At 46.9% G+C, this 15,681-nt stretch overlaps 3 non-coding genes across 3 annotated transcripts, besides 19 other annotated features; all 3 read right to left on the reverse strand.

Annotated features, from left to right (window-relative positions):
* Window positions 302-1,501: an enhancer, noted in NCBI's record as "P300/CBP strongly-dependent group 1 enhancer chr12:125400549-125401748 (GRCh37/hg19 assembly coordinates)". NCBI's record gives its function as "activates an origin of replication core promoter dependent on BRD2, BRD4, P300/CBP, MED14 and CDK7 cofactors, with strong dependence on P300/CBP, by STARR-seq in HCT116 cells {active_cell/tissue: HCT116}" and the evidence as "EXISTENCE:reporter gene assay evidence [ECO:0000049][PMID:35650434]".
* Window positions 302-1,705: a biological region, named in NCBI's record as "P300/CBP strongly-dependent group 1 enhancer GRCh37_chr12:125400549-125401748".
* Window positions 601-1,280: an enhancer, noted in NCBI's record as "H3K27ac hESC enhancer chr12:125400848-125401527 (GRCh37/hg19 assembly coordinates)". NCBI's record gives its function as "activates a minimal SCP1, AML or CMV promoter by ChIP-STARR-seq in primed H9 embryonic stem cells {active_cell/tissue: H9 hESC(primed)}" and the evidence as "EXISTENCE:reporter gene assay evidence [ECO:0000049][PMID:30033119]".
* Window positions 642-936: an enhancer, noted in NCBI's record as "tiled region #517; HepG2 Activating non-DNase unmatched - State 1:Tss, and K562 Activating DNase unmatched - State 5:Enh". NCBI's record gives its function as "activates a minimal TATA promoter and a strong SV40 promoter by Sharpr-MPRA in HepG2 and K562 cells {active_cell/tissue: HepG2 | K562}" and the evidence as "EXISTENCE:reporter gene assay evidence [ECO:0000049][PMID:27701403]".
* Window positions 886-945: a silencer, noted in NCBI's record as "silent region_5069". NCBI's record gives its function as "represses an Ori minimal core promoter by ATAC-STARR-seq in GM12878 lymphoblastoid cells {active_cell/tissue: GM12878}" and the evidence as "EXISTENCE:reporter gene assay evidence [ECO:0000049][PMID:35858748]".
* Window positions 1,436-1,705: an enhancer, noted in NCBI's record as "active region_7310". NCBI's record gives its function as "activates an Ori minimal core promoter by ATAC-STARR-seq in GM12878 lymphoblastoid cells {active_cell/tissue: GM12878}" and the evidence as "EXISTENCE:reporter gene assay evidence [ECO:0000049][PMID:35858748]".
* Window positions 1,916-2,125: an enhancer, noted in NCBI's record as "active region_7311". NCBI's record gives its function as "activates an Ori minimal core promoter by ATAC-STARR-seq in GM12878 lymphoblastoid cells {active_cell/tissue: GM12878}" and the evidence as "EXISTENCE:reporter gene assay evidence [ECO:0000049][PMID:35858748]".
* Window positions 3,353-3,502: a silencer, noted in NCBI's record as "silent region_5070". NCBI's record gives its function as "represses an Ori minimal core promoter by ATAC-STARR-seq in GM12878 lymphoblastoid cells {active_cell/tissue: GM12878}" and the evidence as "EXISTENCE:reporter gene assay evidence [ECO:0000049][PMID:35858748]".
* Window positions 5,331-5,520: an enhancer, noted in NCBI's record as "active region_7312". NCBI's record gives its function as "activates an Ori minimal core promoter by ATAC-STARR-seq in GM12878 lymphoblastoid cells {active_cell/tissue: GM12878}" and the evidence as "EXISTENCE:reporter gene assay evidence [ECO:0000049][PMID:35858748]".
* Window positions 5,331-6,034: a biological region, named in NCBI's record as "H3K27ac hESC enhancer GRCh37_chr12:125405603-125406281". NCBI's record gives its function as "regulatory_interactions: UBC".
* Window positions 5,356-6,034: an enhancer, noted in NCBI's record as "H3K27ac hESC enhancer chr12:125405603-125406281 (GRCh37/hg19 assembly coordinates)". NCBI's record gives its function as "activates a minimal SCP1, AML or CMV promoter by ChIP-STARR-seq in primed H9 embryonic stem cells {active_cell/tissue: H9 hESC(primed)}" and the evidence as "EXISTENCE:reporter gene assay evidence [ECO:0000049][PMID:30033119]".
* Window positions 5,576-5,746: a transcriptional cis regulatory region, noted in NCBI's record as "candidate enhancer chr12.4740 targeted for multiplex CRISPR interference". NCBI's record gives its function as "positively regulates UBC gene expression in K562 cells {active_cell/tissue: K562}" and the evidence as "EXISTENCE:mutant phenotype evidence [ECO:0000015][PMID:30612741]".
* Window positions 5,601-5,920: an enhancer, noted in NCBI's record as "active region_7313". NCBI's record gives its function as "activates an Ori minimal core promoter by ATAC-STARR-seq in GM12878 lymphoblastoid cells {active_cell/tissue: GM12878}" and the evidence as "EXISTENCE:reporter gene assay evidence [ECO:0000049][PMID:35858748]".
* TRA-TGC3-2 (tRNA-Ala (anticodon TGC) 3-2) lies at window positions 6,054-6,125 on the reverse strand. The gene has a single exon. It is a non-coding gene; the product is annotated as a tRNA-Ala (tRNA).
* Window positions 11,432-11,481: an enhancer, noted in NCBI's record as "active region_7314". NCBI's record gives its function as "activates an Ori minimal core promoter by ATAC-STARR-seq in GM12878 lymphoblastoid cells {active_cell/tissue: GM12878}" and the evidence as "EXISTENCE:reporter gene assay evidence [ECO:0000049][PMID:35858748]".
* On the reverse strand, window positions 11,644-11,715 carry TRD-GTC2-9 (tRNA-Asp (anticodon GTC) 2-9). The gene has a single exon. It is a non-coding gene; the product is annotated as a tRNA-Asp (tRNA).
* Window positions 12,102-12,161: a silencer, noted in NCBI's record as "silent region_5071". NCBI's record gives its function as "represses an Ori minimal core promoter by ATAC-STARR-seq in GM12878 lymphoblastoid cells {active_cell/tissue: GM12878}" and the evidence as "EXISTENCE:reporter gene assay evidence [ECO:0000049][PMID:35858748]".
* Window positions 12,102-13,340: a biological region, named in NCBI's record as "P300/CBP strongly-dependent group 1 enhancer GRCh37_chr12:125412388-125413587".
* Window positions 12,141-13,340: an enhancer, noted in NCBI's record as "P300/CBP strongly-dependent group 1 enhancer chr12:125412388-125413587 (GRCh37/hg19 assembly coordinates)". NCBI's record gives its function as "activates an origin of replication core promoter dependent on BRD2, BRD4, P300/CBP, MED14 and CDK7 cofactors, with strong dependence on P300/CBP, by STARR-seq in HCT116 cells {active_cell/tissue: HCT116}" and the evidence as "EXISTENCE:reporter gene assay evidence [ECO:0000049][PMID:35650434]".
* On the reverse strand, window positions 12,142-12,214 carry TRF-GAA1-4 (tRNA-Phe (anticodon GAA) 1-4). Its single transcript has one exon. It is a non-coding gene; the product is annotated as a tRNA-Phe (tRNA).
* Window positions 12,322-12,371: an enhancer, noted in NCBI's record as "active region_7315". NCBI's record gives its function as "activates an Ori minimal core promoter by ATAC-STARR-seq in GM12878 lymphoblastoid cells {active_cell/tissue: GM12878}" and the evidence as "EXISTENCE:reporter gene assay evidence [ECO:0000049][PMID:35858748]".
* Window positions 12,742-12,811: an enhancer, noted in NCBI's record as "active region_7316". NCBI's record gives its function as "activates an Ori minimal core promoter by ATAC-STARR-seq in GM12878 lymphoblastoid cells {active_cell/tissue: GM12878}" and the evidence as "EXISTENCE:reporter gene assay evidence [ECO:0000049][PMID:35858748]".

Consider the following 15,681-nt stretch of genomic DNA (forward strand, 5'->3'; position numbering starts at 1 on the left):
ATTCTACAGGGCAATTCTATTTTGGTAAAAGAAGTGGGGAGAAAAGCATCACCAGCCAGCTTTTTAAATTTTTACCACAACCTATTTTGTGATCCCTACGTGTCATTTCTTCAGTATATTTTTTAAATGTTTTAAAATATACGAACATGGTGAGATTTTTTAAATGTGTCTTTTTAAAGTGTACAGTGAAAAGTCTCCCTCATGCCCTCAATTTCCCAGCCACTGTTCCTTCTGGACTCTTCTACAAATAGTCCCTGTTTCTACAAATGTATTGGAGGTAGGGAGGCTATTTTGATTTCTACCCTTAAAAGCTTCAAAAAAAAGAGAAAAAGAGGCTACCAACTGAAAAATATTTTGCCATTAGGAAAAGGCTGCATTCTTGTTTTAAGTTATGAACATTACATTATTTAAACGGCAGACTTAAAATATGCATCAAAGCAAAATGAACCTGCTATATATTTTCTATGGTAACCCATGTTTCTGTGTATTTATGAAAATCCAAGATCTGTGCATTGTTCAAAACAGACTTTGACATCTCCAATTTTTAACATTTTAAAGAGAATGAATTCATGTGTTACTGGGAAATTAAAACGAATAATAAAAGTGTCATTTTCCAGGATTGGCAGGATACCCCAGTGATTTCCAATACACATTTCTGCAAAGTTTTTGTTTTTTGTTTTTCCCCTACATTTCGGGAAGGAGTTTTGAAGGGATTAAAAAGCTGAGATTCTTTCTGAGGTGACCAGGCCTGGCTTTCAACCACGCCCTGGTTGCTTTTGGCTGTTACTCTGCTGCAAGCCTTGTGATTCATGTTGTTTAAAGGCTGAGTCACCAGCTTTGTGACATAGCTTTTTTCAGAGTCCAAAAGGTACAGAGAAAAAACAGCCCTAACTGCAGAGGCAGGGGCGGGAGAGGAGGACAGGAGGAGGAAAAAGGAAGAAGAGGGGATGAGGGTAGGGTGGGTAATGGGCCAAAGGTTAGCTGCAAAGAGAAACCAATGTTGTCTCTAGCAGAAAAAAATTATTGAAAACATCCCAGCATTCCCTGACTTAAATGGTTATTGAAGCAAACAGAAATAAACCTTTCTCCAAAGTCACTGAGGTGACAGGGAAGAAAATGGCCTCCCAAAACGCAGGTGTCTGATGTTTCTCTACAACAATGGTTCTCAACAAGGAGTGATTTGCTCTTTCAGGGGACATTTGGCAATATCTGGAGATATTCTTGGTTGTCACAACTCAGGGGAGGTTAGGGGATGCTACTACTAATACTAGCACTGTTGGTAGACACCAGGGATGCCACTGAACATTCTATGAGGGACAGTCCCCCACAACAAAGAATTATCAGACCCAACATATTAATAGTGCTGAAATTAAGAAACCCTGTCCTACAAAGGATTTTTGTTGTTGCAACAACTGCTTTTCTGTTTTCCGAAAGGGTTCCCAAAGTCTAAATGTCCCACTTGGACTCAGGAGTCAGGTATCAAGTCACGCTCTTAAAACCTAAACCCTGCTGACCTAGAATGCGATGTGCTAGAATGTGCAAGAATCGGGATGAGTCACTGGATCCGTTTTCAGTTCGTTCCACCCACAGATCCGTCCTTTGCAGGCGCCCCAGAAAAGATTGCTTCAGAGCTGGCACCAATGGAGAAGGGACAGAGGCCCAGCAACAGGGCGGGATTGGCAGGCGGAAGGGAGCGTGTGATGAGCTGAGCTCACAAAGGGCCGGGGTGCTGGGCTGCAGCTGGGGAGGGCGGGGTTGGATCAGCGCCTGCTCCTCCGCCTTCGTTTTTCCCCTCCCCCTAAGGATTCAGTTCCCCCTTCTGAAATTCACCACCTTGTATGTGACTTAATCCAGCCCCATGAAACTGTCTGAGAGCATGAGTGAGGGTCAACAAACTTGCTTCCCCCAAGAAAAAGGGTGGAATCAGAGAGGTGGTGGGAAGGGTTTGCCTTGCTTTGTCATCGCTTATATAACCATAAAAGGTTGTCAAGGACGCCTGCAGGTTAGAGGCCTGGCAAACAGGAAGTAAAAAAAAAAAACCTGGGGAATGTGTTCTTCTTCCTGTTTCTGCTTGTGCTGTATAACTGTGTGGTGGAACACAAACCGCTCCAGCTTAAAAATAACCCATTCATCTCAGCGGTCAAAACCGGACTTAGCTAGTCTCCAAATTTGCCTACTTTAGGAACATTAGGAAGTTATTTAACCTATTTGGGCTTTGTTTGTGTCGTCGTTTGGTTTTGTCTTAAAATTGTGGTAAAATACACATAAAATTTACCATTCTTAAGTGTACATTTCTGTAGCATGAAGTACATTCAGTATTGTGCATCAGCCATCACCACCAAGCCATTTCTGGAGCTCTTTTCGTCTTGCAAAACAAACTCTGTCCCCATGAAAAACTGATTCCCCATTTCTCCCTCCCACCAGCCCCTGGCATCCACCATTCTACTTTCTGTCTCTATGAATTTGACAACTCATGTGACCTCATATAATAAGCTTTGTTTAAGGGTAAAATAAAATTTAATAGTTGAAAAAGCACTTTTTTCAAAGAGTATTTCTAGGAAGCTCCAATTCCTGACACCAACCTTTAACAATAACAACTCCCTGCGGTATTTTTTTTCCTTGTCATGCACTAGTAGAAATATTTGGCTTTGTTTCTTTGTTTTTTGAAACAGTATCTCGCTCTGTCATGCAGTGGTATGATCACGGCTCACTCTGCAGCCTGGATGTTCCGGATCAGGTGATCCTCCCACCTCAGCCTTCTGTGTAGGTAGGACTACAGGTATGCGCCACCACACCTAATTTTTGCATTTTTTGTAGAGAGGAGGGTTTCGCACTTTGGGAGGCTGAGGCCGGTGGATCACCTGAGGTCAGGTGTTCGAGACCAACCTGTCCAACATGCTGAAACTCCATCTCTACTAAAAATACAAAAATTATCAGGTGTGGTAGCTCACGCCTGTAATCCCAGCTACTCCAGAGGCTGAGGCAGGAGAATCACTTGAGCCCTGAAGTCAGAGGTTGCAGTGAGTCGAGATCGTGCCACTGCACTCCAGCCTGGGTGACAGTGAGACTCTGTCTCCAAAAAATAAAATAAGAGATGGGGGTTTCACCATGTTGCCCAGGCTGGTCTTGAACTCCTGGGCTCAAGTGATCCTTCTGCCCTGGCCTCCCACAGGGCTGGGAATACAGACATGAGCTAATGTGCCTGGCTGAAATATTTAATTATAAGGTACAAAGTAATGTCATATAAGTGTGGGGTCATAGTAAGAAATAAAAAATAAAAATAAAAAATATTGAAAAAAATAGCCAGGCATGGTGGCCTACACGTGTAATCCCAGCATTTTTGGGAGGCCAACGTGAGAGGGTCACTTCAGCCCAGGAGTTAAACACCAGCTGAGCTACATGGTGAAACCCTGTCTCTACCAAAACAAACAAACAAAAATTAGCCAGGCGGTGGTGCATGCCTGTAGTTCCAGCTGCTCAGGAGGATGAGGTGGGAGGATCACTTGAGCCCAGGAGTTTGAGGCTGCAGTGAGCTGTGATTGCACCACAGCACTCCAGCCTGGGCAACAGAAACAGACCCTGTCTCAAGCAAAATAAATAAATAAATAAACAAAAGAAGAAACAAAGTAAAACAGAAGTGAAACTGCCTTTGCAAAAGTCATAACAGAAAATTATTACAGTGAAAGAGATCTGACCTCACTGACTCCATCTCGCGTCTAACCTCCAAACTGTCTTTGTTCATTCCTAGGTGTAGGCTGAACTGACTTTGGAGGAGCTTAGTTTATAGTTTAATTCTGAAACAAAGGTGATAGCCTTTTCCTAAAACAAGCCCCCTTCCTGCCTGCGCACTAGACTGCTTTGCAGGACTAACAAATTGGCCACAAGATTACAAATTATGGTTTAGGAGTCACGCAGCTGGAGACTGCAAGATTCTGTCCATGCTGAAATTGCTCCTGAGGATAACATCACTATTGTAAAACCTAAGACCAGTGCTTGAGATATTTTGCATACTCTGCACTCAGTGGGCCGACTGACACCACCCAGATTGATAAACTGGCTCATCTGGTCTTGTGGCCCCCACCTAGGAACTGACTCAGGGCAAAGGGACAGCTTCGACTCCCTGTGATTTCATCTCCGACCCAACCAATCAGTACTCCCGATTTCCCGACCTCCCTACACACCAAATTATCCTTCAAAACTCCAATCCCTGAGTTTTCAGGGAGACTGATTTGAGTAATAGTAAAACTCCCGTCTCCCACACTGCCAGCTGTGTGTGAATTAAACGTTCTCTATTATGGCAGGGCGAGGTGGCTTGCGCCTGTAATCCCAGCACTTCGGGAGGCTGAGGTGGGCGGATCACAGTTTCCCTGTCCTAATAAATGGGCTCTGTCTAGGCAGCGGGCAAGGAGAAACTGTTGGGCAGTTACAGAAGCATGTAAGTTTTGTGTTAGGCCTGATGACTTCAGAAATTATCTTCAATGATTTTCCCCTAAAACCTTGTTGACATTTAGGGAGAAATAACCTTTCCTGAAGCTCATTAGAAACAAGCTGTCACCAATGCGTCACCACCTAACTGGTGAGTCAGTTCGCAAGTTTCATTTTCTTCATCTCAAAAATGAAAGCTCTAGATCTAGGATTAGACGCTTTTACCATTTAAAACATGAAGTCAAGTCAAATGAAAGAAAGGGGCTGACAGGTGAGGAATTCATTATAATTGCAAAGAACTGTACCACAGAATGCAGCCGAATCCCTTCTTTCATTCTTATTATTATTTAGAGAGCTGGGAACTGGTTAAACTTTAAAAAATATAATTTATTTTTATGTATTTATTTTTGCCTAAAGATCATTCATGCAAGTAAATCAATCTCCCCTCCCCTCCCCTTCCCCTTTCCCTCCCCTTCCCCTTCCTTTCCTTTCCTTTCCTTTCCGAGCCAAGGTCTCCCTTTGTTGCCCAGGCTGCTTTCAAACTCCTGGCCTCAAGCAATTCTCCTGCCTCATGCCTCCCAAAGTGCTGGGATTACAGGCCTGAGCCACCATCTTTTGCTTTCAGTGATAAAACACAGAAACACAGTGGAGGTGAAAGCAACTCCATCTTGGTTGCTAATCCACCAAGATAACTTCCGATTAATGCCTCTTCCAGGAAGGTCTCTAAGATTTCTACTTTACTGTTACCATAAATTCTGCCCTTAGATCAGAACAACCTAGATCATAAATCCTTCCCTTATGCGGATTCACATAACATTCTTGCCTTGCTTGAGGGGTCAACTTCAATTGTCCTACATATATTCCTTCCCTATGGTATGGAAGCCCTGGGCCGGGGGTTATGGCGCAGCAAACCTTATATCCTCTGATGACCACCCTGAGACTATGGCTTCTGTTGGTAAGTCCCTAATAAATGTTTTTTCCTGAGAAACTGGGTTTGTCAACCCCTTTCTTTGGCCTCTCAGCTCCCTTGGCCTTTGGGGTAGGTTTGCATAGGCCTGCTCACCCCGGAACACAGTGTATGAATATAAATGTAAATTGCACTTGCATTACAGCCGTGGAGACGTGTTGCTGAGGAAGCAGAGAGCAAAGCCCCGCTGGGATGTGAGTTTGCTTCTGGGTTCCTCCCATGCAAATGAGGTGGTTCGTGGCAGTGCAGAGGAGGAGTGAGATGGCAAACAGGGGGGCCCAGACCTTCCAGCAACTTACACACTTGCCCTCTGATGGCCAAGAATGCGTCAACAGCCCTCGAGGCCAGTGCAGTACAATCATGGTGGCACGAGATGTGGTGTACACTCCCCAAATGATCATCCTGCTCACTTTTGCTGTGGTTTCAGTCATCAAGTCAGGTTTTGCCTTAACACTTTTCTGCTGATTACTCCCATCAGCCTCTTCTAACTCATGTGCATTTGAAACATTAGAGATTTCAGAATGGGAAGATCACACCTGGTGTGAGAATCTGAGCTCCAAGTAGTGCCTGGAATCACAATGCTTATGATAATCACATCCATGGCACTTTAATGATAAAGAACCACGGACCAAAACGAATACAGAAAGCAACAAAACTACAATGGAGATGCCGGGGATCGAACCCGGGGCCTCATACATGCAAAGCATGCGCTCTACCACTGAGCTACATCCCCCTCCCTTTCCTGTACTTGCTTTTGGAAGTCCTTGCTATACTCTATTCTTAAAGGCGTTTTTCCTGTTTCCACGTGTTTCATTTTTATTTTTGGTTTTTATTATTGTTTGGACGCATAACAATTGTGCACATTTATGAGGTGTGGTGTGATGTTGTGATCTATGTACACAATTTGTAATGTTCAAATCAGGGCAATGACCACATCCATCCCTTCAAACATGTATCATTTCTCTGTGCTGGGAGACATTAAAAATCCACGCTTCCAGCTATTTGAAAACGTACAATAAGTTGTTGTATTCACTCTATAGGGACACTGGAACTTATTCCTCCTATTCAGCTGTACTTTTGTATCCAGTAACCCCCCTTTGGCTATCCCACCTCCCCCCACCTTCACTACCTGCAGTAACCACTATTCTCTCTGTGAGACCAACTATTTCAGCTTCCGCACGTGAGTGAGATCATGCAGTATTTATCTTTCTGTGCCCGGTTTATTTCACTTTATGTAATGTCGCCCAAACTTAGCCATGTTTTTATTTTTGTTTCGTAGAGGAAAAATGACAGGATTTCATTTTGTTTTGTATTTTTTTAAGGTCGAATAGTATTCTATTGCGTATGTACACATTTTCTCTATCCATGTATCTGTTGACGGACACATCTAGGCACTTATGAATAAAGCTGCAATACACACGGGAGTGCGAGAGGCTTTTAGTTTTTGGTTGGTTGGTTTGTTTTGAGACAGAGTTTTGCTCTGTCGCCCAGGCTGGAGTGCAGTGGCATGATCTGGGCTCACTGCAACCTCCGCCTCCTGGGTTCAAGCGATTCTCCTGCCTCAGCCTCCCGAGTAGCTGGGACTACAGGCGTGCACCACCACGCCTGCTAATTTCTGTATTTTTAGTAGAGATGGGGGGGGGTTCAGCATGTTGGCCAGGCTGGTCTCGAACTCCTGACCTCAGGTGATCTGCACCCCTTGGCCTCCCAAAGTGCTGGGATTACAGGCGTGAGCCACTGCGCCCAGCCAAGGATATTTTCTAAATTAAACTTTTGTGTGTTTAAGTGAGTGTTAGAGTTTAGCAAAACCACCACAACAACAAAAAATTGTTTTATGTTTCCCAAGTAGGTTAGCTCTTCATAACCTTGCAACTAAAATTCTAGCGGATACCAGAACCAAGGAACAAATGTAAACTGACCCATTCTTAAATGTTCCTCTTCACAGACAGAAGAGAAGAGAAGGAAAATCGAGTTTCTTTCCAACAAATAAGGGCATTGGCTTGATTGTACCTTCACCCAGAAACCTCTGATTTCTCATCCTTTAAAACCATACCAACCTTCAGTGACTTTGAGGTTTGCATATCAGCTGGAAGACATTTTTTCCTCCCAAAAGAACTATTATGGCCGTGCGCCATGGCTCATGCCTGTAATCCCAGCACTTTGAGAGGTAGAGGTCGGCGGATCACTTGAGGCCAAGAGTTTGAGACCAGCCTGGCCAACATGGCGTGAACCCCGTCTCTACCAAAAATACAAAAAATTAGCCGGATGTGGTGGCGAGCGCTTGTAGTCCCAGCTACTCGGGAGGCTAAGGCGAGAGGATTTTTGGAGCCCAGGAGGCAGTGGTTGCAGTAAGCCAAGATCATCCCACAGCACGCCAGCCTGGGAGACAGAGGGAGACCACATCTAAAAAAAAAAAAAAAAAAAAAAAATCCGTCTGAATATAAATATCAGCAAACTGAAAAGAAACATATCCACTTCCCAGAATGAGGGCTTCAGCTTGGAGGAAGGAGTCTCTTTACAATTGCCCACCGAAAAGAGCCATTCTTTTTGTTTGTTTGTTTGTTTGTTTTTTTGAGACCGAGTCTCGCTTTGTCGCCCAGGCTAGAGTGCAGTGGCAGGATCTTGGCTCACTGCAGCCACCGCGTCCCGGGTTCAAACGATTCTCCTGCCTCAGGCTCCTGAGTAGCTGGGATTACAGGCGTGCACCACTACGCCCAGCTAATTTTTGTATTTTTAGTAGAGACGGGGTTTCACCATGTTGGTCAAGCTAGTCTCAAACTCCTGACCTCGTTATCCGCCCCCTGCCCCCCTCCCGCCCGCCCCAGCCTCCCAAAGTGCTGGGATTACAGGCGTGAGTCACCGTGCCCGGCCCTAAGAGCCATTCTTAAACTGTGAATTTGCATCTCTCTTCCAGAGGGTTTCTTAAGCACACCAGGGGAGAGAAGTCACAATGTCTGGTGTCCTTCAGGTCATCAAAAAGCTGTTCCTTGGGGAAAGAATGGGTGAGAAGCTAGGAGAGGGCGGAAAACTGAAGGCTATACCTCTTTCCATCAGCCTTGAGATTTCTTGGCTGGAAATAGACACTTATTGTGATAAGGAAAGCTTGCATCAAAAATGTCCTGCCGCCTCGTTCTCCATAGTTCCCTGACAGCTGCTGGCACTTGAAACTCTTCCTAGCCAAAGACCATGCAAAATTGTCAGAAAAGTTAGTAGCCTGGGGGCAAGAAGTGCTGGACACAGCAGCTGTGATTGCATCACCTAACCTCTGGGCCTCATCTGTGAAAGAGATTTCAATGTACCTACCTCATCTGGTTATTGTGACAATTTAATGAGTTACACATAAAATATGTATAATAGTGTCTGGTAGAAAGCACAGGCTCTGGGCTGGGTGCAGTGGCTCAGGTCCATAATCCCAGTGCTTTAGGAGGCCGAGGTGGGAGGACTGCTTGAGCCCAGGCGTTCAAGACCTGCCTGGGAAACACAGTGAGACACCCCACCCCACCCCCACTCAGGAGGCTGAGGCAGGAGGATCTCGTGAGTCTGGGAGGTCAAGACTGCAGTGAGCTGAGATTGTACCACTGCACTCCAGCCTGGGCGAAAGAGCAAGACCCTCTCTCAAAATTAAATAAATAAATAAGGCCAGGTGCACTGGCTCGCAACTGTAATCCCTGCACTTTGGAAGGCCGAGATGGGTGGATCACCTGAAGTCAGGGGTTCGAGACCAGCCTGGCCAACATGAGGAAACCCCGTCTCTATTAAAAATACAAAAAATTAGCTGGTCATGGTGGCACGGGTCTGTAATCCCAGCTACTCAGGAGACTGAGGCAGGAGAATCGCTTGAACCCAGGAGGCGGAGGTTGCAGTTAGCCGAGATTGCACCACTGCACTCCAGCCTAGGCAACAAGAGCAAAACTCCGTCTCAAATAAATAAATAAATAAATAAATAAATAGAAGGCAGGAACTGTGAAATGTGGGTCTGGCTTTTATAAATGTTATTATCATAGGACTCTGCTGGAGGGCAGTTGCCTCTTCTATTCAGCCCGGCGTGATGCTTTGCTGACCCGTTTTGGAGAGATGGGGGAGAGCAGGAGGGCAGTGGGGAGGTGAGGAATAGGGACCACCGTGTAAACCATCCTCTGACCTCATTTCCCCAGCCTAAGTGGGAGCCACGGGAGAGAGACCCTGGCAGCAGAAGAGCAGGATGGCGCCATAGGTGGCATCATTTTGGATGTGGTTGAGGAGCAAGCCCACGGGTTGTTCTCAGTCCGCAAGTGCCCCTGCTTCCTCTTGTGCCCACCCACCTGGCTGCCAGAGGGCACTGCTCAAACAAACCTGAATGTTTCTCTCTGCATGAAACTCTCAGAATCAAACCCATACCTCCTGCCCTCCATATCCCTTCAAGGTACGATGTAATCCGGCCTCTGAGGACCGCTCTGACTTCACCTCCTTCTGCCCCACTCCTCCGTCCTCCCTATCCTCTTCCATGGGTGCTTCTGCCACACCAGCTTCCTCACTGTTTCTTCCCAGTTCAGGGCCTTTGCACTTGCTGTTCCCTCTGCCTAGAATGCTGTTCCCAGTTCTTTTTTTTTTTTTTTTTTTTTTGAGACGGAGTTTTGCTCTTGTTGCCCAGGCTGGAGTGCAATGGCGTGATCTCGGCTCACTGCAACCTCTGCCTCCTGGGTTCAAGCGATTCTCCTGCCTCAGCCTCCTAAGTAGCTGGGATTACAGGCATGTGCCATCACATCCAGCTAATTTTGTATTTTTTAGTAGAGACGGGGTTTCTCCATGTTGGTCAGGCTGGTCTCAAACTTCCGACCTCAGGTGATCCACCCGCCTCTGCCTCTCAAAGTGCTGGGATTGCAGGCGTGGGCCACCGTGCCCGGCCTCCAGCTCTTCTTATGGTTGGCTCTTTCTCATTTTCCTGGTCCTGGTTCAAATGCCACCACCGCAGAAAGGCCTCCCTGAGCACCTCTCTAAAGGGGCCTATGAATCCCACTCACTCCCTATCCCATGCCTCTGGTTTGCCTGGTTTTTCTTCATGGCATTTACCCATTTTATCCTATTTGTTCAATGCCAGGTCCTTCACTAGGTGGTAATCTCAACAGGGCAGCACCTTCTCTGTCTTGCTGCCTAGAACCGTGCCTGGCACATAATAGGTACTCAGTAAATATTTGTAAAATGAATATGGAAAGTTAACAAAAGATAAGCGCCCGGGAAAGGTGATAGCTGTATTCAGGAAGCTGAGTCTGCAACTGCCTAAAGACAAGAAAACGTCTCAAATCTATCAACATTTTCCAAGGGCCCTCCCTCGGGGCTGGAGCAAATCCTAAGACGGAAGCAGAAGGAGCAGTTCCTGGCCTCGGAAGCTGATAATCTTATTCTGAGAAACCATTACATAAACCAAACAGTTTGCAGGAGGGGTGCAAGAAATGGATGAACACGGCCAGACACGGTGGCTCAGGCCTGTAATCCCAGCACTTTGGGAGGCCGAGGCAGGAGGATCACCCGAGGTCAGGAGTTCGAGACCAGCCTGGCCAAAACGGTGAAACCCCATCTCTACCAAATATACAAAAATTAGCTGGGCCTGGTGGCGCATGCCTGTAATCCCAGCTACTCGGGAGGCTGAGGAAGGAGAATCGCTTGAACCCAGGAGGTGGAGGTTGCAGTGAGCTGAGATCACACAACTGCACTCCAGCCTGGTGACAGAGCAAAACTCCGACTTAAAAAAAAGAAAGAAAGAAGTGGTTTCTAGGCCGGGTGCAATGGCTCACGCCTGTAATCCCAGCACTTTGGGAGGCCGAGGCGGGCAGATCACAAGGTCAGGAGTTGGAGACCAGCCTGGCAACATGGTGAAACCCCGTCTCTACTAAAAATATAAAAATTACTCGGGCGTGGTGGCGGACGCCTGTAGTCCCAGCTGCTTGGGAGGCTGAGGCGGGAGAATCGCTTGAACCCGGAAGGCGGAGGTTACAGTGAGCTGAGATCGGGCCACTGCACTCCAGCCTGGGAGACAGAGCGAGACTCTGTCTGAGGAAAAAAAAAAAAAAAAAGAAATGGTCTCCAAAAAAAAAGAACGAAATGGATGAACACTTCCACATGCGAGCACTGCCTTTTTCTTGCTTTCCTGTAACAGTGTGGCACGCAACGAGGCCAGAGACAACCACAGAACCAGAGTCCCGTTTACCTGCCGGGTTTATTCTTCATAGGAAGAGTAAGGAAAAATACGGAAGAATGGTAAAAACGTACTTGGCCTCCCCGTCGGGGAATCGAACCCCGGTCTCCCGCGTGACAGGCGGGGATACTCACCACTATACTAACGAGGACCGCCCATAAAACAGGTTCTTCAAGAGACTGTTTTAAGGTAAACGTAGCTTTCCCTAAACACTTTCCAAAGAATTAAGTATCTTGTATTTCCCACAAAACAACAGGTCCGACTTGACTTCATGCCATTTTAAGGCGATCGTTTCCAGTTCAGAAAGCAGACGTTAAAAAACAGAAAGCAAAAATGAACAAACAGGCATCAACAAATGTGCATTTGAGACATGGAGGAGGTGGAGACGGGAAAAACTTGACCTTATTTGATTTACCCAAACGGGGAGTGGAGGGGGAGTTTCCTTTCCCTCTGGCTCCTCGCGGACACTGCTCGGGGCTTTGTTAAATATAGAAAGTAAAAGCCTTTGATCAATTGGAAGGAATCGGCTTCGTCTATGCACCTCCTTTTTCCCCCGGGGGGAAGGAAAAAGAGGAAGTGCCGAAACCCGGGATCGAACCAGGGACCTTTAGATCTTCAGTCTAACGCTCTCCCAACTGAGCTATTTCGGCAGCCGTTACGACTGCGATGCTCTTTTATCCTCCTGGTCGTTTTGCCGCCCCGGGTCTTTGACACAGACGCTGGGAATGCAGGTTCAGCAGGGACTGCGTGCGGTGGCCTGTTCGTCTGTCAAGGCCACGACCTCTGAGAAGCCTTCTCTGATCACATCTCCCGCCATGGCCCAGCCTTTACTATTTACTGTTAACTTTATCATTTTCCTTGTCCGTCTCCCCAGCAAGCATGACAAACACAAGAGGAGCAGGAACCTTGTCTACCTCGGGCACCGCTGTGTCCCTCAGTACCTAGAACAGTGCCTAGCACATTGTGGGGCCTTGACAAATATTTGTTGACTGATTGACTGACTGACTACATGAATGAATGCATGCGTGAATGAATGAATCCCACCTGGTTCAGAGCTCGGGTTTCTCAAGCCCCCTTCTCCGCGCAAAGGAAAAAGGTCATCCCCTGGGCGCAGCTCCGCAAGCAGCGCGAGGCGTGGCAGGGATGTTGACCTCGCCAGGGCCTACGGGAGGACGCGTCAGCCGGAACGCAGCGTTCCTCGGGCAGGGAGTGACTCAGATCCGGCCTCCGAGTGTGGCCTCCATGCTTGTGAGCACCTGCTCAGCTTCCAAGCGGGAAGACGTCAACAGGTTGGCATCCAGACTGGGCTCTTCGCTTCGGGAAGTGGGCGGTTGGACGGTGCGGGTGTTGTCCGGGAAAGAATCAGGAAATCCCTCATGACCTGAAGTCATTCAAGAAGCATTCGCCGAGCACCTAATAATCGTCTGACCCATCAACAAATACAATTAACAGGCCAGGTGCGGGGGCTCAACCTAGTAATCCCAGAGCTTTGGGAGGCCCAGGTGAAAGCAGACTCGCTTGTGGGTAGGAGTTCGAGACCAGTCTGGGCAAAATAGTGAGCTCCCTATCTTATTAAAAAAAAAAAAAAAAGCCAAATACAATAACAAAATAAGTCCACATAATAGTAAATGCTAAGAAAAATAAAATACCTGCACTGTGGGGGCAGCAAGAGAAGGGAAGATCTGAGAAGACCAGAAGACTGAAGAGCCACGGGAAGACCTGGAGGAAGAGCATCACAGACGGAGGGAACAGCTAGTACAAAGGTCCTGAGGTTGAAACCAGGTTGGCTTGTCAGAGGGACAGAAAGAAGTCATGATGGAAGAGGTGGAGGGGAAGAGGAGTGAGGGGAGGGGGCAAGGTCTGAATGTGGGGCGGAGACCAGATCTCGCCATCTTTGGAGGCCTAGGAGATGAGCCTGGGTGCCCTGGATCTTGGAAAGCCATGGGGGAGTGAGATGATTTCCATCTGCAAAGTCACCCCGGCTGCTGGGTGGAGAATGGACTGGCCAGCCAGAGTGGCAGCAGGAAGTCCAGCGAGGAGGCAGTTGGAGGTGTTGATGAAGGGACGAATTTGAGACTGGCTTCAGAAGGAGGGTGGGAGGACTTGTTGATGGATTTCATATAGGGAAAGGGGAAAGAAAGGGGGGTGAAGGATGACACCCAGCGGCTGTCTGGGCTACTGGACGGATGGTGATGCTCTTGCCCGAGGGCAGGTGCCTCAGAGTGAGTAAGGAAATCAAGACTTCAGTCACAGGCATGTTACGTTTCGAGATGCCCACTACACTTCCAAATGGATGCACTGGGTCAGCCAATTTCCTGAACTTCCTGGAGCAAACCGGAGTCCCCTTAAGAGTCCTCAAACCTGGTGTCATGGGCTGAATTCTATCCCTCCAAAGTCTGTATGTTGAAGCCCTAACACCCAGTTCCTCAGAATGTCACCGTATTTGGAGATAGGGCCTTTAAAGATGTGATTAAGTTAAAATTAGGTCATTAGGGGAAGCCCTAATCCAATGTGACTGTTGTCCTCGAAAGAGGAGGAGATTAGGATTAGGACACAGACACACATGCAGGGGGACGACCATGTGAGGACCCGGCAGGGAGGCAGCCATTCGCAAGCCCAGAAGAGAGGCTTCAGAAGAAACCAAGCCTGCCAGCACCTAGATCTTAGACTTCCAGCCTCCAGAAAAGTGAGAAAATACGTTTCTGTATCTCAAGCCCCGCCAGCCTATGGTATTTTGTTATGGCAGCCTGAGGAGACTAATACACCTTCCACCCTACTCACTGTGGCTGGATTTTCCAAAAGAGTGGAAAGATTTCACATTGTCTCTCTTCTGAAATTCTTCACTCCCTTCCTGTCAAGAATAGAGCCCCTTCTAAAGATCCTCCCACAAGAGCATGGCAAATGGCCTTTGGGGGGGCCCAGCATTGTGTATTCATTTCTGATATGGGTATCAGGTCTGGCTAGATCCAGCTCCAGACAGCTAGGCCAGCAATGCAGCACATCCAGCTCTGAGCCTGTGAGAGAAGGAGTGGGCTTTGGTGTCCATCCGGCTCTTCAGTCTGCAGCAATCCCAAACCAAGGTGTGTGTTCCGAAAATGTGTGTTGCTAAAGAAATTGAGAAGGGAAAACTGGAGTCTCCTGGCAATTTCTAATATTTTAAAAATGACTTACTCATTTTGTTTTGTTCCCCATAGTTTTTTCTCAAATGATTCAGTTCATACAACCAATGCCCTATTTTTCTCACTTGATAATGTATCAGCTCAGTGCTTTGCATATAGGAGGCTGTCAATGAATATTTGTTGGATAAACAAGTTGCCAGGTCTTAATTACTTAATCACTTAATGGCTTCTAATGCTGCAGTAACAGATCACCACAAACTGAGTGGCTTAAAACAACAGAAATTTATTCTCTCACAGTTCTGAAGACCAGAGTCCAAAATCAAGGGGTCAGCAGTGCTTGTTCCTTCTGGAGGCTCTGGGGAAGAAACTGTCCCATGCCACCTCCCACCCCCAGCTTCTAGTGGTGGCCTTGGTGTCCTTTGTCATGTAGTTTCATCATTGCACTCTCTGCCCACTTTTTCACATAGCCTTCCTCTCCATGCCTCTGTGTACTTTCCCCTTTTCTTTCTTTATGTTTGTTGTTGTTGTTACATTTTTTGTAGAAATGGGGGTCTCAATCTGCTGCCCAGGCTGGTCTCCAACTCCCAGGCTCAAGCCATCCTCCCACCTCAGCCTCCAAAAGTTCTGGGATTACAGGTGTCAGCTACCACAAATGGCCTGCTTTTTCCTTTGCTGTCTCCTATAAGGACACATGTCATGGGATTTAGGATCCACCCTAATCCAGGATCAACTCATTTGAGCTCTCTCCCTTAATTATCTCTTTAAAGACCCTTGGATTCCAAGTAAGGTCACCTTTTGAGGTTCTGGGCAGATATATCTTGTAAGAGGTCACTATTCATCCCACTACAATTACCAATCACATATTTTTTTATTTTATTTTATTTTATTTTATTTTATTTTTTGAGATGGAGTCTTGCTCTGTCTTCTGGGCTGGAGTGCAGTAGCAGGATCTTGGCTCACTGAAACCTCTGCCTTCTGGAATTCAAGTGGTTCTCCTG

Source organism: Homo sapiens, chromosome 12 (genome assembly GCF_000001405.40).
Source record: "Homo sapiens chromosome 12, GRCh38.p14 Primary Assembly".
Classification (NCBI taxonomy): Eukaryota; Metazoa; Chordata; class Mammalia; order Primates; family Hominidae; genus Homo; species Homo sapiens.